The sequence below is a fragment of the Homo sapiens genome, chromosome 15 (genome assembly GCF_000001405.40).
Source record: "Homo sapiens chromosome 15, GRCh38.p14 Primary Assembly".
Taxonomy (NCBI): Eukaryota; Metazoa; Chordata; class Mammalia; order Primates; family Hominidae; genus Homo; species Homo sapiens.
In genome coordinates this window covers 57,269,310-57,294,166 of record NC_000015.10, presented here as the reverse complement: position 1 = coordinate 57,294,166, position 24,857 = coordinate 57,269,310, and the positions used below count along the sequence as shown (strand labels likewise).

General features: G+C 40.1%; 1 protein-coding gene and 1 non-coding gene across 35 annotated transcripts in view, besides 1 other annotated feature; one reads left to right on the top strand and one right to left on the bottom strand.

Moving 5' to 3' along the window:
- The window catches only part of TCF12 (transcription factor 12), a 373,221-nt gene continuing 351,220 nt past the window's right edge, over positions 2,857 to 24,857 (bottom strand). For 20 of the 34 annotated variants that reach the window (NM_001322151.2, XM_011521959.4, XM_011521962.4 and 17 more), the window contains 3 exons: positions 20,905 to 21,137; positions 11,569 to 11,722; positions 4,314 to 8,010 (listed from right to left, as the gene is read on the bottom strand). In NM_001322151.2, coding sequence (NP_001309080.1) covers positions 11,580 to 11,722; positions 20,905 to 21,137 — 376 coding nt within the window. In that variant the 3' untranslated portion in view covers positions 4,314 to 8,010; positions 11,569 to 11,579. Of the gene's footprint in view, positions 3,339 to 4,313; positions 8,011 to 11,568; positions 11,723 to 20,904; positions 21,138 to 24,857 lie in introns of those variants that run through there. The other 14 variants (XM_011521961.4, XM_011521963.4, NM_001322152.2 and 11 more) reach the window with 3 other exon arrangements.
- Positions 9,329 to 9,388: an enhancer, noted in NCBI's record as "active region_9458". NCBI's record gives its function as "activates an Ori minimal core promoter by ATAC-STARR-seq in GM12878 lymphoblastoid cells {active_cell/tissue: GM12878}" and the evidence as "EXISTENCE:reporter gene assay evidence [ECO:0000049][PMID:35858748]".
- Positions 15,510 to 15,600, top strand: SNORD13D (small nucleolar RNA, C/D box 13D). Its single transcript, NR_145748.1, has one exon. It is a non-coding gene; the product is annotated as a small nucleolar RNA, C/D box 13D (small nucleolar RNA).

Sequence of the window (24,857 nt, the reverse complement as noted above, 5' to 3'; positions counted from 1 at the left end):
GTGCACGCCACCATACCTGGTTAATTTTTATTTTTTGTGGAGACTCACTCTGTTGCCCAGGATGGTTTCGAACTCCTGGGTTCAAGCGATCCTTCTGCTTAGGCCTCCGAAAGTGTTGGGATTACAGGCATCAGCCACTGTGCCCTGCCATCTTTGATAATAGCCATTCTGCCATGTGTGAGGTAATATCTCATTGAGGTTTTAACTTTCATTTCCCTGATGGTTAATAATGTCGAGCACTTTTTCATATACATGTTGACCATTTGTATGTCTTTTTTTTGAGAAAAGTCTATTCAGGTCCTTTGCCTAGCTTTTAATTGGGTTCTTGGTTTTCTTGCTATTGACTTGTATATTTTGGATATTAAACCCTTATCAGAATGTGTGGCTTGCAAATATTTTTTCCAGGTTGTCTCTTCACTGTTGTTTCCTTTGCTGTGAAGCTTTTTAGTTTGATATAATATTATTTGTCTATTTTTGCTTTTGTTGTCTGTGCTTTTGGGGATCATATTTAAAAAACCATTGCCCAGACCAATGTCATGGAGCTTTTATCTTGTTTTCTTTTCTTTTATTTTCTTTTTTTAAATCTTGTTTTCTTCTAGCAATTTTATATTTTCAGGTCTTAAGTCTTTAATCCACTGTGAATTGATTTTTGTATATGGTATGAGATAAAGGTCTAATTCCATTCTTTCGCATGTAGACAATTTTCCCAACACTATTTATCGAAGAGACTGTCCTTTCCTCATGTGTGTTCTTGATACCATTGTCAAAAATCAATTTTCTGTAAATACACAGACTTCTGGGCACTTTATTCTGTTCCATTGTCTATGTGTCTTCTTTGTTGTCAGTACTGTACTGTTTTGATTACTATAACTTCTTAGTATATTTTGAAGTCAGGTAGTGTGATGCCTCCAGTTTTGTTTTTTGCTCAAGGTTGCTTTGGCTATTTAGGGTCTTTTGTGGTTCTATTCAAATTTCAGGATATTTTCTATTTCTGTGAAAAAAGTCATTGAAATTTTGATATGGGTTGCATTAAGTTTGTAGATCACTTTGGGTAGTATGGACATTTGAACAACATTAATTCTTCTAATTCATGAACATGGTTTATCTTTCCATTTATTGGCATCTTCTTCAATTTATGTTTTATAGTTTTTAGTGTATCAGTTTTTCACCTCTTTGGTTTAATTTATTCCTAAGTATTTAATTTTTTTAACTTTTCTGAATGGGATTGTTTTCTTGATTTTTTTTCAGATAGTTCACTGTTAGTGTATAGAAATGCTATGAATTTTTGTATGTTGAATTTTGTATCCTGCAACTTAACTGAATTCATTTGTTAGTTCTAACTTTTTTGGTAGAATCAGTAAGGTTTTCTGTATTATAACATTATCTTATCTGCAAACAGGGACAGTTAAACTTCTTCCAGTTTGGCTGTCTTTTCTTTCTCTTGCATAATTGCTCCGGCTAGGATTACCATGTTGAACAGAAGTGGCTAGAGTGGGCATCCTTGTCTTGTTTCTGATCTTAGAGGAAAAGCTTCCAACTTTTCACCAGTGAGTTAGGATGTTAGCTATGGGTTTGTCATAGATGCTTCTTTATTGTGTTAAGGTACATTCCTTCTATACCAAATTTAATAAGATCAAATACATTAAAATATGCTCAAGTTCCACATTAAACAGCAATTTAGTTTTGCTATAACAATTTTGTATGACTTTTGTAATTGTATTTGAAATTAATTTCATTTTGCATTTTTTTTCTTTTGGCACTGTAATATTTTTTCAGATTGCAAACATTTTCACAAGCTTTGAAAGACTTGGAAATCTTGCACATGGTGCTCACCAAGCCCAAAGACAAAATGGCTCAGAGACCCTGGGGACCCAGCGTAGTGGAACACTGACCCTCAAGAGTGAGAAAGGAGACCCTGGCAGAAGACAGCAGAGGTACCACATGACAGTTTGGGGAAGGGATTGAAGGTCTGCGTCAAAGAGAACAGAAAACCTCTCCAGGTTGTCTTTTGGCAATAACTAAAGAGAGAAAGATAACAAACATAGGAAAGATATCTCTACTCCCATATACATCCTCCAGTATAGGCACACGTAAGAAAGCCTAGGGCTGAGGGCACTCACAGGGAAACACCTCCAAATGATGAGGACCTTGTGAGCTTCCTAAGCCAGGTGACCACAAAGACGCGTGGACAATCCACTGACCCAGCAAGCAGGGAGTGTCACTTGTCCTGTGAAGAACACCAGAATACAGTTGGCCTTTCTAATCTGCATGCAGGTCCCATATCCATATTCAAGCAACCATGGATCAAAAATATTGGGGGGAAAAAAAACTAATGATAAATTAACAAGGGGCCAGGCGCAGTCATCTATAATCCCAGCACTTTAGGAGGCCAAGGTGGGAGGATAGGTTGAGCCCATAAGTTTAAGATCAGCCTGGCAAATGTGGAGATTCCAACTCTACAAAAAATAAAAAAAATTAGCTAGGCATAGGGGTGCACTCTTATGCTCCCAGCTACTCTAAAGGCTGAGGCAGGAGGATTGTTTGAACCAAGGAAGTTGAGGCTGCAGTGAGCCATGTATTTGCCACTGTACTCCAGCTTTGGCAATAATGTACCACCCTGTCTCAAACAACAACAACAAAAAACCATTACAGGCTGGGCATGGTGGCTCATGCCTGTAATCCCAGAACTCTGGGAGGTCAAGGCAGGAGGATCACTTGAGCCCAGGAGTTTGAGGTTACACTGAGCTAGGATCATACCACTGCACTTCAGCCTGGGTGACAGAGCAAGACCCTGTTTTCACAACAAAACAATGCAATACTGAAAATATCACAGACGAAAAAACCAATACAGCATAATAACGATTTACATAGGATTTACATTGTATTCAGTATTATGAGTAGAGATGATTGAAAGTATGTGGGGGGATGTGTAGATTGTATGCAAATATCGTGCCCTTTTATATAAAGGCCATGAGCATCCAGAGATTTTGCTATCCTTAGGGGATCGTGAAACCAGTCCCCAACAGACACGGAGAAATGACATTACTAAACACAGCAACTTTATGGGATTGTATCCAGATTACATAAGCCCACACCAGAGCCAAAGAAGATGGAGGAGGAATGGGATTCATTCTTCCAGACAATACGTGTAAGTTTACTTGACTGTGGAATGCCAAGGGAGAAGGAACTGCAATTTTTAGAAGACTCATTGGCCCAATGAGATCAGCTATTGTCTCAGTGACTTCAGAAGACCCTTTGGTTTTATTTTGCTCTTTTGTAGGAAGATGAGGTGCTGTGGAAGCCATGAGGTGCACCTGAGGTCTCCCTTCAAAGACAACCTGTTGGGAAAGAGTGGTTAGCTGTTGGCTTCCAGCTGCAGCACTTTTGTTGCAGTGTTCAAACTGAGGCCTCAGTCTCCCCATGTAACTCCCAGTCAATAACTGACCAAAACAGGGACACTGATACTTTGCCATTCCTGCCCAACACAAGCCTCCTTCACCGGCAATCTTTGTGCCAGAACACCCTCACTGGGCTGCTTGGGCCTTCTTCAGAACTGCAGGCAGCCTGAGGCTCTCCCTACCTAATCCTCCTTCCTTACTTGCCCTTCTTTTAATGTCAAACCTGCAGCATGGTGTGAAGACCATCCCTGTCTACTTTTGATTCCTTGCCCTTTTGTTTTTCACAGGTACATCTCCTAATAAATCCTTTACCCTTCTAACTTCCTCTTGGCATCTGTCTTAAGAACCCAAACTGATACAGCTGTCCACCCACACAGTGTGACTGGGCAAAGCCTACTGGCTCACTCTTTTTTTTTTTTTTTTTTTTGAGACAGTTTTGCTCTTGTTCCCCTGGCTGGAATGCAATGGCGTGACCTCAGCTCACTGAAACCTCCACCTCCCGGGTTCAAGTGATTCTCCTGCCTCAGCCTTCCAAGTAGCTTGGATTACAGGCACCTGCCACCATAGCTGGCTAATTTTTGTACTTTTAGTAGACACGGGGTTTTACCATGTTGGCCAGGCTGGTCATGAACTCATGACCTTGTGTATCGCTCGCATTGGCCTCCCAAAGTGCTGAGATTACAGGCGTGAGCCACCACGCCCAGCCAGACTCACTCTTTTGAAATGTGAAGGTCTAAAAAAAAAAAAAAAATCCTCTTAAAATGCAGCCATGGGAGGGCACTGAAAAGAAATGCAGTGTTTCATTGGATGGCTGCAAAAGAATGTAGACTCCTACAAAGATGGGTTGACATCTTCTGGGGGTTTATTTTACCATTTACCTCTGACAGGATGGCTGAAGAGGAATCATCCTGGGAGTTGGTTATAATATTATTTATTTAAAAATATTTATCATTTATTAAGTACTTCTTAGGTGACAAGAACCATAAGAGCTTTCCATACATTGTTTCATTCAATACTTACACAATTCTAATGTTATCTCCATTTTTCAGATAGGAAAATGAAGTTAATCAGATGTTGAGCTTAGATTTGAATCGAGGACTATTTAATGCCAAAGCTTAAGATTCTTTAAGTCACACACACACAGACACACACACACACACACACACGACGTGTGTTTAAATTTTGAGTTTCCAAGGAAAAAGAAAACATGAACTATAGAAAAGAAAAATGAAATAAAACAAATATGGAAGAAAATGAAGACACTGAGCAGAAGCGGCCTAGAAATCTGCAAAGAGAAAGAGAAAGTCAAGGCAGGGAGGTTTTGTAGGGAAAGTTTTAAGTGTCTTGATCTGTTACTAATTATGTGTTCTTAGAGACATACAATCTGAGTCTCAGTTTTCACAGATATATTAATGAGGTCATTTACTAGATGGTCTCTATATTTTATTTCAGCTCTAAGATTATACATTTTCTTCTTAGAGCTTTTTATTTATCGTTTTGTATAAAATCAACTTAACAAGTTTAATAGTTTTCACTAAATCCCACAAGAAGCAAAATGTTCTGTTAGGCACCCAATGTGAACAGTGGATTTCATAATTCACCAAGAGAAGCAATCTGCCAGCATACCAAGAGGATGTGACAATTGCCATGGGTTTCGCACGCACAGGTCCTACAAAAAGTCATTCACTGTCAAAAAAAAAGTTTGTCTAGTTTGTTTGAGGTTCTTGCTTGGCATGAAGTCCTCATGGATAATCCCTACGCTTTTTTTTGTGGTTAAAAACTGGGATAAAAGCAAATTTTTGATCTTTTAACTTTTAAACAGTAAACAATACCATTACTTAATTATGACACTTTTTTTGTGAGAAAGGGTATGGGGAAATGTGAAAAGTGCTTTGAAGAATAACTTAAAAAGCCTCTTTTGAGTCTTTTTCCATCTTCTTCATTTTTCTCTGTATCTACAAATGAGTAGATTTTCTATAACTACTAGTTGCTGTTTGGTCAATCTTTAGGAAAAGGTTAAAAGGCCACCGTCAGTAGTGAGGGCAAGAGGAGAAAAGCACAAGCTAGAGAAGCTCTAGACCAGATTGCCAACTTAGCTCCACAAGCCTGATTCTGTCCTGAAGGGTTTCCCAGATAATGTCGGTAATGCAGTTAGGAAAAGCAGTGTGAGTGTTTCTGGGACGAATGAGATGGAGAAAATAAAACAAAATACATTATTATTTGAGAAAGAGAAATGTAAAAAACTCACTATTTTACTGTGTTAAAAAAAAGATGGCACATTTATTGCTACATAAATGTTATATACATATTGTGTTTTCTGTTACAGTGACAGAAAAAAATTTGAACTTCTTGCTGCTGGTTGAAAAGGTTTATCAATAATACCTTGAATTTGACACAGGATACAAATCTGCAATAAACCAACAATGGAAACTGGAGAACAAGATGAGAAGCAATTCATCTCCAACAATTAGCTCTTACAATACTCCATAGGTACTACACGGTATGCTAGAATCCTACTATGGTCTTAAAATGCTATTGTAAATTTCTGATATTAATGAACAGGTTATGGTAAATAACCCTACATTTTTTACTACCTAATATAATAAAATAAAGTAAGAAACTTTTTACTGAAAACTTTTTGATTTCAAAAATCTAGAAAGAGTAATATTTAGAATTCAAGAAATTTTCTTACAAGATTATTGTATAAAAGACTAGCTACAGTGAAAAATAAGCCAAATGTTTTTTTCTTTCTATTTTATGAAGGAAAGCTTCTGGGCATACTGCAAAGTCTAATATAGCGAAAAAGACAACAAGCTCTGAAGAAAAAAAGGCCAGGCAGTGGCATATGTTCACTCACACATCATAAGCAACAACTTCTGTTTAGCTGATTAACACTGAAATGAAGAACAAGGCCACAGATAGAGTCCGATGTAACTGGAGAATATATGCAAATTAAAGTAACCAAAAAGTCCACTAAGTTCACAAATGACTGACTTGTTAGGAATCATCCTGATTAGAGTACCAGAAGTTCTGTCTTGTTTTTGTTCTTTCAAATTAACAGAAATCTTTAAGCTACATAGTGATTTGGGTCCTTTCCTCTGTGTGCTGATTGCCACTGTTGATATTGGCTATAAGGAATTATTAAGCCAAGATACCTCCTTTAGCATGTTTTTCTCTCCCAGGGTTGTTGTGGTGGAAGACAGGTTTCATGGAAGTTCAAAGTGATTATGTCTTTTAAAACAACTCCTAAGGATTAGAGACAGAGAGTGCCTTAATGAACAGTATTAAGATGGACTGACAAGTACTGGTTTAATGCTAATCTGGCTCATCATTTTGGGACAGGGGCAGATGGTTTGCAGTTGATTAAATCACCCACTCAATTCTTCCCCATTGACCAGCCATCCAAATGACAGAGAAATAAAGGCTAGGATAAGGAAATACGGGTGACCATTGCTCTTGTATTCCATTAGGTAATTAGCCTCAGAGTGGTGTGTTCATTTATCACACTACCTGCCTTGGTGACTACTGGGTTTTGTTATGTTCACCATAATCACAGCCTGAAAAAATCGTCTTTGTATTTTAAATGTATTTTGTGCTTACTTACAGCTAACACTTTACAAGTACTGTATGTAGTACTTACTGCTTGGAAAACAAAGCGATTTCTAAAAAGTAGATTCTTCCCTTGTAATTTACAATTTTGCTATTACAAGCTTTCCTATGAGATCTAGAAGCTTGAAAAGTCTTGGTTATTATTAGAAATAAAGCAATGTTTATTTGGGGGAAAACCTAGAGAACAAAATTTCCCCTTTTAAAATGCTAGCTAGGCTATGGTCACAGATGGTCTCTGCTTACCACTGTAAGGTAAATGTGCAAAGCACACAGGGCTGCACGGAGGAGGCTGGACTGTGACCATAAACTGTTCAGATTTAGAGATCAAATATAACACCCACAAAGAGAAAATAAAAATAAATCAAAAAATGAGAGCAAGAGAAATGCTATACCAAGTAATATTTTCCTATTTCATGGAAAACGCTATTCATATGGCAAGAGGATAGGAGAGGGCAACAAAAGACTTTTCCCTTCCTTTTTAAGACACTAATAGGTATGCCGGGAATGCTAAGGGCCAATGGTTGTCACTGCTTTGTTCTCTGCACGTGAACCGCTTTAATGTATGCTGGCATCAGCTGAGTGTAGATCAGCTTTCCACATTAACTTTTTCCCTTTATATGTAGACCTTACAGTTTCATAACAATAAATAAAATTTGTAGTTACAATGCATTTGTCAATTCAGTTTAGGCACAAGGCAACTTCCACGGTGAGTGGAGAGATCGAGACAGTCTCTGATTGTGCAGAAGCGACACACTGCTTGCAACAAAAGATTTGTTGCAAACATCTCATGGGCTGATGTTCTATCTGATGAGCTTCCTATCTTCACTTCTGATGGAAGTGTTGACCAGTTGCTTTGATCGTAGGATTACATTTGAGTTTCTTGGTTCAAGTGTTTTGTTTTTTCTTCTCCCTCCTGTCAGGTTTGTGTCTTCAGATAATCTGAGTTGTCCAAGTCCTTATGAGGAGAGGTCACCTTCTATCTAGCCTACTGATAACTCTGGAACTGTGGCAGGGACAGCCAAGGGAGAGGACAATACCAGTTAGTACATAATTGTTAAAAATAAAACACCTTCCCCCTCCCACCAACAAAAAAATGCTGGTATTCCTCATCTATATCCAGGTCTGCACTAAATTTGTAGTCTGCTAAGTGACTTAATGAACTTTTTCCTTTTAAGGTATACTGAAATGGTTTTACTTGATGTGTATGGTAAGGTTTTTTGTTTGTTTCTTTTCAGACAGTGTCTTGCTCTATCACCCTCGCTGGAGCGCAGTGGCATGATCATGGCTCAACGCAGCCTTCAACTCCTGGGCTCAAGCAATCCTCCCACCTCAGTCTTTGAGTAGCTGGGACTACAGGTGTGCACCACCACACCCGGCTATATGGTAAGATTTTTAAAGGAGATCATGCGATTACAGAATCACAAACTATAGGCGTATAAAACAGCTGCCGCAATGATGCAAACCTTCATTTTAATAACACTCAAGTTGGCAATAACTGAGCTCTGAGGTGCTACTCATTCATTCCTCAGTAGTGAGACAATGGTAAAGCCCTCAATTTGCTGCTGCCTCCACTCAACCACAGTGTTAATAGTTTACATTTATTTCATCTAAACTGAGAGCACCTGAGGTCAGAGGCTACCTTGCATTCATTTTCATATTGGTCCCAGTTCCTGGTCCACAGTAGGTCCTCAACAAATGTTTGCTATTTATTAAGAATATTTTACTCTATTAGTACAAATTCTATACATACTTATGTTCCCAATATAATATATATAGCAGTAACTCTGAAATTTTCTACTTTAAATTTTTAATAAAATAGTTTTAGATAGAATCATAACTTTTACTTCCTTATTAAACAATAACCACAGTATTGTTTAGGTACACAGCAATGCTCTTAGGGACGGAAAACTAAGATATTCAAAGCTACTTGGCCTACATTACAGGATGGCAAATTTTTGTACGTTTATAACCAGTCATTCTGTGGTCATGTCTTAGCCATTTTGATTCTAGTAGCATTGTTCCTGCTGCCCTGTCTCTTGCTACTTTTAATCTGCTATCCAATTTATGAAACCAGATAACTATCTTTATGAAATTAGCAACCTTAACACATATTCTAAGATGACAAACACTAGCCTATACAATCTATGGAACAAAGTGCATTCACTACATGTCTCATATCTTGATGCCTTTTTAAACTTAAAAGAATTCTTGATCCTTTTTTGATAGGTGGGAATGCCCAAAGTTTAATTTTAACCTAAGTGGGAAAATTTCCACATTATAAAGAGATAAAGGTAGAGCTATGAGAGCAGTATGAAATAGAGAAGTAGTAAAAGCACAGGAAGTAAACAGAAGGAAACGAGATGAGAATAAGAAGACAAAGTTGAACGAGTAAGAGAGACTGAGAAGAAAACAAGAGGAAATGGGTAGAACTAACTAGAGCGAGACAAGAAAAATAAGACACAGGCTCCAAGAGAAGTGTTAGGGCAGAATGCCTAGTGCTCTTTTTCACAGCTTGGTGGTTATCTGGGACCTGAGCATAAGTTACCTCTCCCATCACTCTTCTTTGAAATAATCTATCAGTTTAGAAAGTCTCTTTTGCACTGAGAAATAGTGGCATGGTTTTATTTTAAAACTTCAAAGTTAATTTTTTGGCCGGGCTCAGCGGCTCACGCCTGTAACGCCAGCACTTGGGGAAGCCGAGGTGGTCGGATCGCTTGAGGTCAGGAGTTTGAGACCAGGCTGGGCAGCCTGGCGAAACGCTGTCTCTACTAAAAATACAAAAAAATTAGCTGGGCGTGGTGGTGTATGTCTGTAATCCCAGCTACTCAGGAGGCTGAGGTGGAAGAATTGCTCAAACCCAGGAGGCGGGAGTTGGAGTGAGCCGAGATGATCACACCATTGCACTCCAGCTCAGGCGACAGAGTCAAACTCCATCTCAAAACAAACAAACAAACAACAACAACAACAAAAAAATCCCAGAACAAACAAAAAAACTTCAAAGTTTATTTTTGAAGCAAAAATACTTACTGTTTCATAGTAGTCTATATTTTCTACAGAGTATGAAACAATGATCTAGGTTTTAGAGGATCTGTAAACTAGCTCTTGCCTAAAGTCCCTGACATGTACAATCTGTTAGATTGCTGGATACTTTTTGTGGGGGAGGTAGTTTGAGGTTTTCTCCAGTGTGCTAATGTTACAGTTATAACTGACTTACGAAATAACTGCCTTAACTCTTCTTTTCTTTTACCCTAAATGAAATCTTCTTTGTGGTCTGGTTTGACCCTATATGTAGTCTCATTTGACCCTATATGTAGTCTCATTTGACCCTATATATGTAGTGGCGGTAGGAACTAAAACCCTCAGGAAAAGGTGAGTTACTAATATTTGTAGTTTATCTATCAAACAATCTATCAAATTCCAGACTTTCAGTTCAAAATGAGACAGCCACGAAACTGACCAAATGAAACTGCACTTGATATTTTTTTCTGTTCCACACCCCGCACTCATCTGCCTTTACTTACTACCTTTAATCTGTTGATAAAATTGGGAAAAAAACTACATACTGCTGAAAGCAGATTATAAAAATGAAGTTACCAGCTGGGCGAGGTGGCTCATGCCTGTAATCCTAGCACTTTGGGAGGCTGAGGCGGGTGGATCACCTGAGGTTAGGAGTTCGAGACCAGCCTGGCCAACATCGTGAAATCCCATCTCTACTAAAAATACAAAAATTAGCCGGGCATGGTGGTGCACACCTGTAATCCCAGCTAGTCTACTCGGGAGGCTGAGGCAGGAGAATTGCTGGAACCTGGGAAGCAGAGACTGCAGTTAGCTGAGATCGTGCCACTGCACTCCAGCCTGGGCAACAGAGCGAGACTCTGTCTTGAGGAAAAAAAAAAAAAATCACAAGGAACTGAATTATGTTTAGTCCATGAAAAGGAAGATATAAAGAACAGTCTTTGAACAAGTAAAATTCCACCAGAGAGAAGGGCATTCTGGCTCTAACATATATAATAACTTCCCATTCATTAATAGATTCTAGAGGGTGTTAACTGATGTGCTTGCAAGTGGGGAAGAAGCATCATATCATAAACTTGCATTATTGATCCAAATACAAGTGATAACTTTTTCATGTATAAAGGCTTCATGACAAAAAGCTAGATAATTGGCAGAAAACTGGTTGATGATATAGTCAGCATTTCTGAATAAAGAAATGAAGAACATGAGTGGTAACAAGAGCGTTTTCTGACGGTTGAGTCATTGTACTATTTCTTCTTGGATCAGGAAGATACTCATGTAAGAGAGTACACATGATGACTCCGAACAGAAGAACCAAAGTCACAAGATACTGCCACACTTTGAAGAAAATGGCAATTTGCTATAAAATGACACTGGCTCTCTAAGTCTGATAATGTAACAGAAAGACAAACTGTTATATTTCAAATTACATGTGACCTTTACAATGGCCACTGCTCACTAGAGAATTCTGTTCAAAGATTCTAACCCAGTTTAAGATGAATCTTAAGGTTATTTCCTTGCTGTTTCTTTTCAAACCCGTACTTACCTGGCTGATGTTTACATATGACCCATAGGGTTGGTAGTTTCACTAAGCCCAGGATGGGTTCCTGGCAGTGTGGTTGGCGGCTCTGCCGATACGGCAGAAACTTTTTCTTCTTCCCTTCTCTTAAGGCAGGCTGCTTTGGGGTTAAGGTTCCTCTCTAAAACAGGGGGAAAGAATTTTTATCACTATGGTTTTAAGTTATGAATTAGGTCTCAAGCTGAACAAATTGCTGTTGTTTTGTGTAACTTCATTCCCATACTAAGTACCATCACATAGAAGAAACAATGTGCTCACATAAAACCTCAGCATTGAACTGAGCCTCCAGATTTATACTTCTAAGTGACCATCTTGTGTTTTCTTCATTTTTTGCTTATGATTTAGTTTTCTAGGGTTTGATTTGATTTAAATCAAAATGCTACTCTTCACTCAAACATTTTGGCAAATGCTGTTGTTATTAGGCTACCAAGTCTCTTCAATGTCCTACTAAGACACGGTACACTGAATTGACATGAATGCTGACATCTTGTACTTAGAGAGAGACACCTGTGCTTTATCTAAAATGTTACCAGTTCAGAAAAGGATAAAGTAAGAGATATCCTCAGCTATTCCTCTAAAGCAGTGGTCCCCAACCTTTTTGGCACCAGGGACTGGTTTCGTGGAAGACAATTTTTCCATGAACTGGGTGCGGGGGGCTGGGGGGAAGGGGGCAGGGATGGTTTCAGGATGATTTCAGCACATTACATTTATTGTGCACTGTATTTCTATTATTATTACATTGTACTATAAAATGAAATAATTATACAACTCACCATTAAGTCAGTGGGAGCCCTGAGCCTGTTTTCATGAAACTAGATGGTCCCATCTGGGGGTGATGGGACAGAATGACACATCAGGCATTAGATTCTCATAAGGAGCAAGCAACCTAGATCCCAGATCCCTTGCATATGTAGTTCACAATAGGGTTCATGCTCCTATGAGAATCTAATGCTGCCGCTGATCTGACAGGATGTGGAGATGCAAATGATGGGGAGTGTCGGTAAATACAGATGAAGCTTTGCTGGATTGCTCTCTGCTCACCTCCTGCGGTGCAGCCAGCCCGTTCGTTCGTAACAGGCCACTGGTACTGGTCCGTGGCCCAGGGGTTGGGGACCCCTCTTCTATAGGAAATGTGCCAATTCGAGGGAGAAGGATAGATAGGTGGAGCACATCTTACTTTTCTACTTTGATATGTATGTGAAACAAGATGAATGAGTTGGTCTTTCTATTGCTGGAGGTGTTATTAAAAGGGTGGTAAAAACCTCTGCTGCTTCTTATAAAAGATAGCAAACAAGACTGCGTGGGATCTGTGACACGGGCATTTTCAAAAGAGGTTAAAGAATAAGCTGAGAGGTACAAGGATCGCTTGAGCCCAAGAGTTGTCAAGGCTGCAGTGATCGTGCCACTGCACTCTAGCCTGGATGACAGAGCAAGACCCTGTCTCAAAAAAAAAAAAAAAAAGAATAGGGTGCTACTGTGAGAAATAAAGGGAAAGAATATCCATCAGATCAAAAACCCACTGGATCAAAATCTACTTACACACTACTTACTATTCCTGTTGGATTTTTTAAAAAATGAGTTTTAAGCCCAAGATATCCATAGCTTCTGATATAGCTTTTCATTTGATTATAACATATAGTATAGGTTAACAGTTGTTCCACATATTTTTATAAATGGATTAAAAATGCCCTAATGAATATAATATAAAGGGATCATTTGTAATTAGTCTAGAATGAAAATAGTATTTTTTAGAAGTTGTAATATTTTATGTCAGATTTTCTTGAAATGAGGGCATAGCCGATATACCATTAGTACAGCTCCCCTTTTTCCATGTCCCCACCCCACCCCCAACCATTTTTTCAGAGATGGGGTCTCACTACGTTGCCCAGACTTGCCTTGAACTCCTGGGCTGAAAGGATCCTCCCACCTCAGCCTGTCAAAAAGCTGGGACTACCAGCAAGTGCCACTGTGCCGGATTCCCCTTTAAAGTAGGTAAAAGTGTATCTGGATGTATAAATTTCAATACACATTTACAGTTCACATCCAAGTTTTTAAAAAGTAAACAAAAATCTTCATTATGGTAAACTTAGCTGACTCCTGACTATCAGTGATGCATACTAATAAAATTTCATTTTAGAGTTCTAATTTTCTAAGCCCCTGTATTTAGAAAGACATAGAGCCTATACAACTATAAGGAGGATGAATGAAGGAAGAAAGATACACTCTTAGTTAATTTATTAGGGTAACTAGCAGGAAAAAATAGTATGTTCATCATTATGCAAAAAATATTAAGAGCTGCTTTCTTAATAAGTAGTTGTGCACCTCTAACAAATAAGAGTTCGTCCTTCATCAGTTTGTTTTTTATAAGAGACTGTGGGCTGGGCGTGGTGGCTCATGCCTATAATCCCAGCACTTTGGGAGGCCGAAACAGGCGGATCACCTGAGGTCAAGAGTTTGAGACTAGCCTGCATGGTGAAACCCGATCTCTACTAAAAATACAAAAAGTGAGCCAGGCGTGGTGGCGGGTGCCTATAATCTCAGCTACTCGGGAGGCTGAGACAGGAGAATCACTTGAACTGGGGAGACGGAGTCTGCAGTGAGCCGAAATCGCGCCACTGCACTCCAGCCTGGGCGACAAGAAGAGCAAAACTCTGTCTCCAAAAAAAAAAAAAAAAAAAAAAGTGAGACTGTGGAGGTTAAAGTCTCATATAATGACCCGAGAGACTGAGAAGATGGCATGGATTAGCATGTAAAACTTAAAGAGGAGAATGTGAGATGTGAAAATTTTCCAACTGAAAAAAGGCTCACATTTCTCTTTATAATGGAAAATTGCTCTTAGCCAACTATGACTCTATCACACCAGGATCTAGGAGACATGATGAGAAATGCTTGGAAGGATCAGCACCAAAAACTCAGTAAATTAGGCAAGATCTTTCAGGTTCCTATATTCAGACAAAGAACACTTCTGGCAGGAAGAACAATACTATGGCAGACTCTAGGAAATGTGAAATAAATACACAACTTTGATTCAAAAAAGACTAAGGCTACTCTTTCATACCTCTTGGTGTGTGACACAGACCACGGCAAATGTGTGCTAAGTAGCCAGAAAGATCTGGTACTTCTCATTACCTGCAGGGCATGAGAAGTATGTCTTCCCATATTTCAATTAGGGGAATTCTATCTATTGACTTCTTATGTAGTTGAGGACTTGACTCTCTTATAACATCAACTTTGCAACATGTTTATAGCAAAATTTTTGGCTAACTCACTAGTCACTTCTTACATTATTATGACTAGGAAAATATTTATGTTATTATGACTATATGGAGATAGCTGCTGAGGTTAAGAATTTTACAGTAGCCTGGGCAACAAAGTGAGACCCTGTCTCTACAAAAATTTAAAAATTAGCCAGGTGTGCTGGTACCCACCTGTAGTCCCAGCTACTGAGGGGGCTGAGGTAGGAGGATCACTTGAGCCTGGGAGGCTGAGACTGCAGTGAGCCATGATTGTGCCACTGCACTCCAACCTAGGCAACAGAGCAAAACCCTGAGGAAGAAAGAAAAGGAAAGGAAAGAAAAGAAAATACAAGACAAGAAAAGAAAGGAAAGGAGAAAAAAAAAAAAGGAAGGAAGGAAGACAGGAGGAAAGAACAAAAAAGAAACAAAGACAGAAATAAAGAATAAGACAAAAAGAAAGAAAGAAAAACAAAGAAAAAAGGAGGAAAGAGAGAAAGAGAAAGAAAGAAAAAGAAAAGGAGAGACAGGGACGGAGAGAGAGAGGGAGGGAGAGAGAGGTAGGGAGAGAGAGGGAGAGAGAGGGAGGGAGGGAGAGAGAGGGGAGGGAGGGAGAGGGAGGGAGGGAGGGAGAGAGAGGGAGAGGGAGGAAAGGTTTGATCCTTTTGTAGTTCATGAGCATGATGATTGGGTGTTCACGAGTGTGTGTGAGATGTGCCACCCTCCAACCTTGTTATGACCTCAGCACATTACCCATCTGACCTCAACTTGGAAAAGAAAAAAAATTTTTTTTTTTACAGTGATTGCTCCCTTGCTCATATAACTGTTTATTTTTCCTATAGTTAATAGCTACTTGTTTTTTCATTTGTTAGTAATGCAAATTCCGTCTCCCTAACCCCACCACTGAATGCTCCAAGAGATCTAACAAATGCCTATCAATATATTTTCCTAAAATCTTGAACACATCATCAATTAATTCCATTTTCTTTCCTTGGAAACCTTTCTTCTGCAGCTAATAGTATTCAATTTTCAATGGACTAGTTGCTCTCTAGGCCCAGTAGCTCTTGTCATGGGATTTATTTTTGCTGTTTTTCTATGTTAAATCCTTTGTTTCCTGGATTCTATAACATTTGTCTTTGTTGATTATGCACTTATTTGGTTAAAGCATATGTTCCAGATGCTTTCTGAAAAAATATACACGAGCCAGGTGTGGTGGCTAATGCCTGCAGTTCCAGCTACCTGGGAGGCTGAGGTGGGAGGATCGTTTGTGCTAGGAGTTTGAGACCACCCTGGGCAATACAGTGAAACCCTGTCTCTATTTTTTAAAAGGATGTATATGGAAGGTAAATTTTTAAAGGATTTGCATATCTGATATATCTTTTTTTTTTTCTTTGAGACAGGTTCTCACTCTGCTGCCCAGACTGGAGTGTGGTGCTACAACCATAGCTCACTGCAGCCTCAATCTTCTAGGGCTCAAGTGATCCTCCCACCTCAGCCTCCCAAGTAGCTGGTACTTCAGGTATGAGCCAAGACATCCAGCTAATTTTTAAATTTTTTTTAGAGATGCGGCCTAACTGTTGCTCAGGCTGGTCTCAAGTCATCTCCTGGGCTCAAGGGATCCTCCTGCCTTGGCCTCCCACTGTGCTGGGATTACAGGCATAAGCCACTGTGCCCAGCCAACTTAATTTTTTTTTTTTTTTTTTTTGAGATGGAGTCTCACTCTGTCGCCAGGCTGGAGTGCAGTGGCACAATCTCGGCTCATTGCAACCTCTGCCTCCTGGGTTCAAGCGATTCTCCTGCCTCAGCCTCCCAAGTAGCTGGGACTACTTGCGCACGCCACCCCACCCAGCTAATTTTTGTATTTTTAGTAGAGATGGGGTTTCACCATGTTGCCAAGGATGGTCTCGATCTCTTGACCTCATGATCTGCCTGCTTCAGCCTCCCAAAGTGCTGGGATTACAGGTGTGAGCCACTGCACCCGGCTGCCAACTTAATTTTTATTTAGAGACAGGGTGGACTTGGCACTGTCACCCAGGCTGGAGTGTAGTAGCATGATCACAGCTCGCTTCAGCCTCAAATTCCTGGGATTAAGTGATTCTCTTGACTCAACATCCCAAGTAGCTGGGACTATAGGCACACACCATGCCCAGCTTATGTGGAATATCTTCATTCTATATCCATCTTTTGATTAATTGTCTGGCAAGGTATAGAATTCTAGGTTGAAACTGGCCAGGTGCGGTGGCTCACGTCTGTGATCTCAGCACTTTGAGAGGCTGAGGTAGGCGGATCACCTGAGGTCAGGAGTTTCAGACCAGTCTGTTCAACATGGTGAAACTCTGTCTCTACTAAAAATACAAAAAATTAACTGGGCATGGTGATGCGTGCCTGTAATCCCAGCTATGGAGGAGGCAGAGGCAGGAGAATCGCTTGAACTCAGGAGGCAGAGGTTGCAGTGAGCCAAGCTCACACCACTACACTCCAGCCTGGGTGACAGGGCGAGACTCGGCCTCAAAAAAAAAAAAAAGGAAAAAAAAAAGAAAAAAAAAAGAATTCTAGGTTGAAATTATTTTCCTCAGAAATTTGAAGGTGCTGCTCCACTATCTCCTGGAATCCAGTACTACTGTCCAGAACGCTGATGATATTTTGATTCTTGTTTCTTTATCTATAAGCTATTTATATTTTATCTCCAGAAGCTTTAGAATATTTTTTTTACCCGAATGCTCTGAAATTTCATGATTATGTATTTTAACTTCGGGGCATTTAAGAAATCACTGTATTCAGCACAAGATTAGATCTTACCACTCTTGAAACATGTATTCTTCAGTACTTAGAAACAAATAAGTACCACTATTCCATCGACTTTCTATCCTACATGCAGCTTTCGCTATTTCATCTGCTATGGTCTCCTCTCTCATCTGTCCTTGTGGGTTAAAATGAATATCATTTTTATTTATTTTAGTGGGGATGTAGGAAAGATTGCAGTATTATCACTGCATATGCTAAGTCTACCACATTTAACCATCTCATTGCACCAGAATCTCCTGGGGTAAGGTTTGGAAATGTTTGAGGAAAGAAAAGCTTCAGGTGATTCTGGGACCAGCCAGATTTCAAAACCACTGTCCAACACCATTTATGTTCAAACTCACTTGTAGAACAGGAAACTGAAAATCTAATAGTTCTCTCATCACTAAATTATCAAAAGAACAGTGACCTGACTAAGCTGACCTGTGAAAGAGCTTGAGAGGAGGAAATGTTTAACCACTGAGTCTTGAGTAACGCTGAGAGTACAAACTTGAAGGTCATTTGTTTTATCTGCTGGGGAATAAAAATGGCAAAGGTACAAATAACGTTGTAGTCATGATAATGGAAAAGCTTAAACTGGCAGTGGGGACTTAGGGTTTGACAGGTGGGGCAACAAGGCACAAAAAATGCTCTGGCAAAATCTGAGGCTTAGAAGAGAAGCCACTCTTCTCTGGGATGAACTGCTAGACCTGGGTCTGCTTGCCTCCTGGTAAAAATAAGCATCCAGTGATTGTGACAGGTTGGGTCACAATCAGATACAGTCTTGCAGCATCATCCCAAATCAGAAGGGGAGCCAGAGTGCAGAGGATGCCCAAATAGGTCATGTAAACAAAAGCTGTTTTTATAGAAAGTGTTGGATCAGGGACTGCTAAGGAGGGTCTCTGTACAGGATGAAGAGGCTCTCAAAAGTGATCAAGTCACCAAAATAACTCAAAACTGTAGGTAAATCGAGGAAAAGACAGTGGCTATACAAAACTCTGAAGGTGTTGCCAAAGACAAGGCACAGGTATTGTGGCCTGTATGAAGGGTTCTAAACCCTATCTGACAGCCATAAGAGTGTCCTTCAAGGAGTCTGAGCCCAGGCATGGTGGCTCAGGCCTATAGACGCTTGAGGCCAGGATTTCAAGACCAGCCTGGGCAACACAGTGAGACCATCTCTACATACGTACACACACACACACACACACACACACACACACACACCCCTACCTTACAAAGATCCCTGGGCTTTTATGTAAAGTCCTAAGATAAGGCTTCAAGCCCAGTCTGAAGGCCGGGGAGAAGTAGGCTTTTCTGAATATCAAAGCAATCCCTAACGAAGTTACAGTTCAGTGTATTTGAAATCTGTTCAAACTCTCATCAGTCAAAGAGTCCTTAGACAGAGCTTTACAGAACTGTATGAAACAGTCAGTACCCATAACAGACCAGAAAGTCAGTAGTAAGAAAGCCTAGATGACAGATCTTCTCTCAGACTCATATTTTCTGTTCTAGGTGCCCGCATGGAACCACTGGAAATTCCAATGTTACAAATGAATAAGGTCCATCTAGGCATGGTAGAATTTATGTTTTATTTATTTATGTTTGTGTTTTTCCATCACAGAAGTATTTCTCATTTTAATGGCTTAGATCTGAAGTAGGTATCTCTGTGCTTAAAAAAAAAGTTTTTAAAAACACAAATGACTGCATTCTGATTCTAATGCACTATGGGAGGAAAAGGTGCTGTGTACTAGAATAAATTCTGGTACTCCTGTTGACCAGACAGTAAGACTTTTACAGCTGAGATGGAGGCAGTGGCTTTAACAATAAATGGCTGGGTGAAGTCAGGATAGAAGATATCCTGGGCTGAAGAAGAGGAGGATGAGTGTACTTGAACCACTGAACATAGGTGCCTTGCTGCCTTCAGAGCGAGACAAAGGGTGTCAGACACAATTCAAGAAAAAAAACCATTGGTAAAGTGACAGGAGGTATCAGTAGTTCAAGGAACCACTGCTTCTGCCACAGGCGAGTGGGTAACAATCTGCCTCCTTATGGATATCACAAGGGAGTCTATAATTACTTGAAGATTAGGTTTCATTAACATTTATACTCCACAGATATTTCAAGGACCTTGGGAGAAGAGGAGCAAGTATCCATTTTTAACATTAGGTTGATTATACACAAAATGATCTATCCCTCATTCTTATTCATTAAATATATTGGAGGGAAGTGGATGAATTAACTACTACTGTATATATTTCTGAAAGTTTGTTCAAGTTCTCTAACTCTGGTTTTCCTAAGAAAGAGTACTCATTCTGTAATCTAATGCTGAGGCTCCATGGCTGTAGTTTTCAAGCATCTGCCCACCCTATTCTTTTTTGAACCGTCTTCACACAAAATCGAAAGAATTGCTCTGAGAGAGACTAGTGGTCAGATCTGGAACCTAGGGCCACATCTATGAATTCCTTGCAAAAAGGCTTAGGATATTTTAAGACAATATATAAGTATATGGAGAAACTCAAGCTTGATGGTAAAACCTCTTAAAGATAAGAAGCTTCTATTATTTGATAACCCAGGGCCTAGGACACAGCTGGTTGGAACAGAGGAGGTATGCAATAAATACATGTTGAACAAATGAAGTTTCAAAGTTTCTTCAAAACTGCAACAAACTTCCTGAAAAATGAAACTGAGTCAGCACTGGGTGAGCTCTTTTGCCCTTAAGGACACAGAGGCATGCCGATGTATGTTAGCCCAAAAAGTTCTTGGTGTTCCTGGTCTGGGGTCAACAAAGAAGCCCTGAGACCTTATTGACATGGGTGTAAAGGTATCTGGCAAAGGCAGAAGGGATGATAACAAGGCATCCTATTAACCAGCAGGGCACGGTAGATACTCCAAAGTAGAGCAGGCAAGAAAATGAATACAGAGAAGTAGGAAAGACATAAAGAGCAGGGAGGAGGGCAGGTCCAGGCAGGGAAATTTAATGGTTGAGAGATCAGAAGCAACCAGAGCAAAGAGACACAAAGCACTATTGCTGAGCAGCAGGCAGAGGCTGTTTGTTATCTGCTTTGCTTCACAGAATTACTCTCTATTGGTGGAGAACACTCAGCCCACAGATATTGGGTGATACAGTGAGACAGAAGTGAGAATTACAGGAAAAACGACCCTGATGATACAGTAGAAGAAGTACTGGGAGAAATAACAAACAACTTCTCCAAGCAGAAGAGCAACTGTAAACAGAAATGTCTGCCCATCTGAAGCAGAACAGTTATACATCTCGGCTGAACCTACTTACCTCTGACTTGCTGTTCTAGACTAAGGATGACTGCCACGGCTTGATGAAGAATAAGGAGTTTTGTTTGGGGTTTTTCACTCTTCAAGTGAAGCTGACACATTCGGCCAAGCTCTTTGAATGCTTCATTAATATCCCGCACGCGTAAGCGTTCTCTGGCATTGTTAGCCATCCGCCTCTCCTTCTCCCTTTCTATCTTCTGTTCAGGGTTCAAATCCTCATCTTCATTAGTACTGCTAGAAAATAAAGTAACAACAAGGTCTATTAGGTTTCCTATAAAGTAAGATATGCTGATTGTGCACAATTATAAAGCGTAAAGATGGAAATGAAAACCACCTATAAATCTTGTAAACAGTTGTAATAGGTGCAGTTAACATGACTGTATATTCCTTTCAAATTTTTCTTCAATGCACATATACAGTCATACAGTTGAAATATACTACATACACTCTTAAGTGCATTTTTCATTGCACATTATAGCATAAAGATTTCTCCAGAAACTCTTCATAAATATAAGATCAACAACTACATAATATTTTAGCACCTTGCTACACAAAATGTGATCCACAAATCAGCAGCATCAGCATTACTGGGAGCTTGTTAAAAACACTGGAGTAGAATCTCTCAGGTTCTGCTCCCATCTTACTGAATTAGAAGCTGCATTTTAACATGTTTCCCAGATGACTGATATACACATTACAGTTTAAAAGCCCCCCTAGTACATGAATGTATAATTTGCTTAGCCTATGCTCTTAAATATACTCTGGCGGTTACCTGGCGAAAAGAAAGAAGGAAAGCTTAAGATATAGATTGAGAGAAGTATCCCAGAAAACGGCTATTTTTTTGTTCTAGAGATAAATTATCATCAGTGGTGATAATTATAAAACATGGGAGAAATGACACAATTTTTTGAAGGGCAAATTGGCAAAACGAATCCAGAGCCTTAATGTTTATTACCTCTTGATCAGCAATTCCAACTTTGGAAATTCATCCTAAGGATATAATTAGAGATGTACATAGAAATTTATGTAAAGGGAGATGATCACAGAATTATTTACATTAGCAACATATTGGGATTTAATAATAGCAAATGGGTTCAATAAATCATAGTACATTCAGACAATGGCCCATTATGTTGTATCTAAAATCAAGTTGCAGATTATGCTAAGTAAAAAAAGCCAGTCATGAAAGATCACATACATACTCTACAATTCCATTTACATGAACTTCTAGAAAACACAAAACTATGGTAGCAGAAAGCAGATCAATGGTTGCCAAGGACCACGGGATGGAGGAAAGGGACTCACTACCAAGGGGAATAAGGACATTTTTTGAGGTGGATTCTACATTATGAATAAGGTGGCTGTTAAATAACTTTTACACTTGTCAAAATGACAAAATATATACATTTTAACATACATAATAAAGACTGTATATTTAAAATTAGTGAATTTTATTATTACATGTGTATTAAGCCTCAATAAAGCTGATCCAAAACAAAAACAAAATACTTAAAAAAAATACATTGCCGAGGTGGGTTGCTTCCAAGATGGCCAAATAGGAACAGCTCTGGTCTACAGCTCCCAGTGAGATCGAAGAAGAAGATGGGTGATTTCTGCATTTCCAACTGAGGTACCTGGTTCATCTAATTGGGACTGGTTGAACAGTGGGTGCAGCCCACGGAGGGTGAGCTGAATCAGGGTGGGGCATTGCCTCACGTGGGAAGTGCAAGGGGTTGGGGGATTACCCTTTCCTAGCCAAGGGAAGCCATGAGTGACTGTACCTGGAGGAGCAGTATACTCCTGCCCAAATACTGCGCTTTTCCCACAGTCTTCGCAACCAGCAGACCAGGAGATTCCCTCCCGTGCCTGGCCTGGTGGGTCCCAGGCCCACGGAGCCTTGCTTGCTGCTAGCGCAGCAGTCTGAGATCGACCTGGGATGCCTAACTTTGGCAGGGGGAGGGGCATCCACCATTACTGAGGCTTGAGTAGGTGGTTTTATGTTCACTGTGTGAACGAAGTGGCAGGGAAGCTCGAACTGGGCGGAGCCCACCGCAGCCTAGCAAGGCCTACTGCCTCTCTAGATTCCACCTCTGAGGGCAGGGCGTATCTGAACAAAAGGCAGCAGACAGTTTCTCCAGACTTAAATATCCCTGCCTGACAGCCCTGAAGAGAACAGTGGTTCTCCCAGCATGGCATTCGAGCTCTGATAATGGAGAGACTGCCTCCTCAAGTGGGTCCCTGACCCCCGTGTAGCCTGACTGGGAGACACCTCCCAGTAGAGGCCAACAGACACCTCATACAGGTGGGTGCCCCTCTGGGACGAAGCTTCCAGAGGAAGGATCAGGCAGCAATATTTGCTGTTCTGCAGCCTCCGCTGGTGATACCCAGGCAAAGAGGGTCTGGAGTGGACCTCCAGCAAACTCCAACAGATGTGCAGCTGAGGGGCCGGTCTGTTAGAAGGAAAACTAACAGACAGAAAGGAATAGCATCAACATCAACAAAAAGGACATCCACACCAAAATCCCATTCGTAGGTCACCAACATCAAAGACCAAAGGTAGATAAAACCACAAAGCTGGGGAGAAACCAGAGCAGAAAGGCTGAAAATACCAAAAGCCAGAACGCCTCTTCTCCTCCAAAGGAACACAACTCCTCATCAACAAGGGAACAAAACTGGATGGAGAATGAGTTTGATGAGTTGACAGAAGTAGGCTTCAGGAGGTCGGTAATAAGAAAGCTGTTCTCCAAGCTAAAGAAGCATGTTCTAACCCACTGCGAGGAAGTAAAAAACCTTGGAAAAAGGTTAGACGAATGGCTAAATAGAATATCCAGCATAGAGAAGACCTTAAATGACCTGATGGAGCTGAAAACCACAATACGACAACTTCGTGAAGCATACACAAGCTTCAATAGCTGATGCGATCAAGCAGAGGAAAGGATATCAGTGATTGAAGATCAAATTAATGAAATAATGCGAGAAGACAAGCTTAGAGAAAAAAGAGTGAAAACAAATGAACAAAGCCTCCAAGAAATATGGGACTACATTAAAAGACCAAATCTACATTTGATTGGTGTACCTGAAAGTGATGGGGAGAATGGAACCAAGTTAGAAAACACTCTTCAGGATATTATCCAGGAGAACTTCCCCAACCTAGCAAGGCAGGTCAACATTCAAATTCAGGAAATACAGAGAACACCACAAAGATACTCCTCAAGATGAGCAACTCCAAGACACATAACTGTCAGATTCACCAAGGTTGAAATGAAGGAAAAAATGTTAAGGGCTGCCAGAAATAAAGGTTGGATTACCCACAAAGGGGAGCCCATCAGACTAACAGTGGATCTCTCTGCAGAAACCCTACAAGCCAGAAGAGAGTCGGGGCCAATATTTCAACATTCTTAAAGAAAAGAATTTTCAACCCAGAATTTCATATCCAGCCAAACTAAGTTTCATAAATGAAGGAGAAATAAAATCCTTTACAGACAAGCAAATGCTGAGAGATTTCGTCACCACTAGGCCTGCCTTACAAGAGCTCATGAAGGAAGCGCTAAACATGGTAAGCAACAACCGGTACCAGCCACTGCAAAAACATGCCAAATTGTAAAGACCATCGATGCTATGAAGAAACTGCATCAATTAATGGGTGAAATAACCAGTAGCATCATAATGACAGGATCAATTTCACACATAACAATATTAACCTTAAATGTAAATGAGCTAAGTGCCCCAATTAAAAGACAGAGACTGACAAATTGGATAAAGAGTGAAGACCCATCAGTGTGCTGTATTCAGGAGACCCACTTCATGCGCAAAGATACACATAGGCTCAAAATAAAGGGATGGAGGAAGATCTACCAAACAAATGGAAAGCCAAAAAAAAAAAAAAAAAAAAAAAAAAAAAAAGCAGGGGTTGTGCGGTTGCAATCCTGGTCTCTGATAAAACAGACTTTCAAC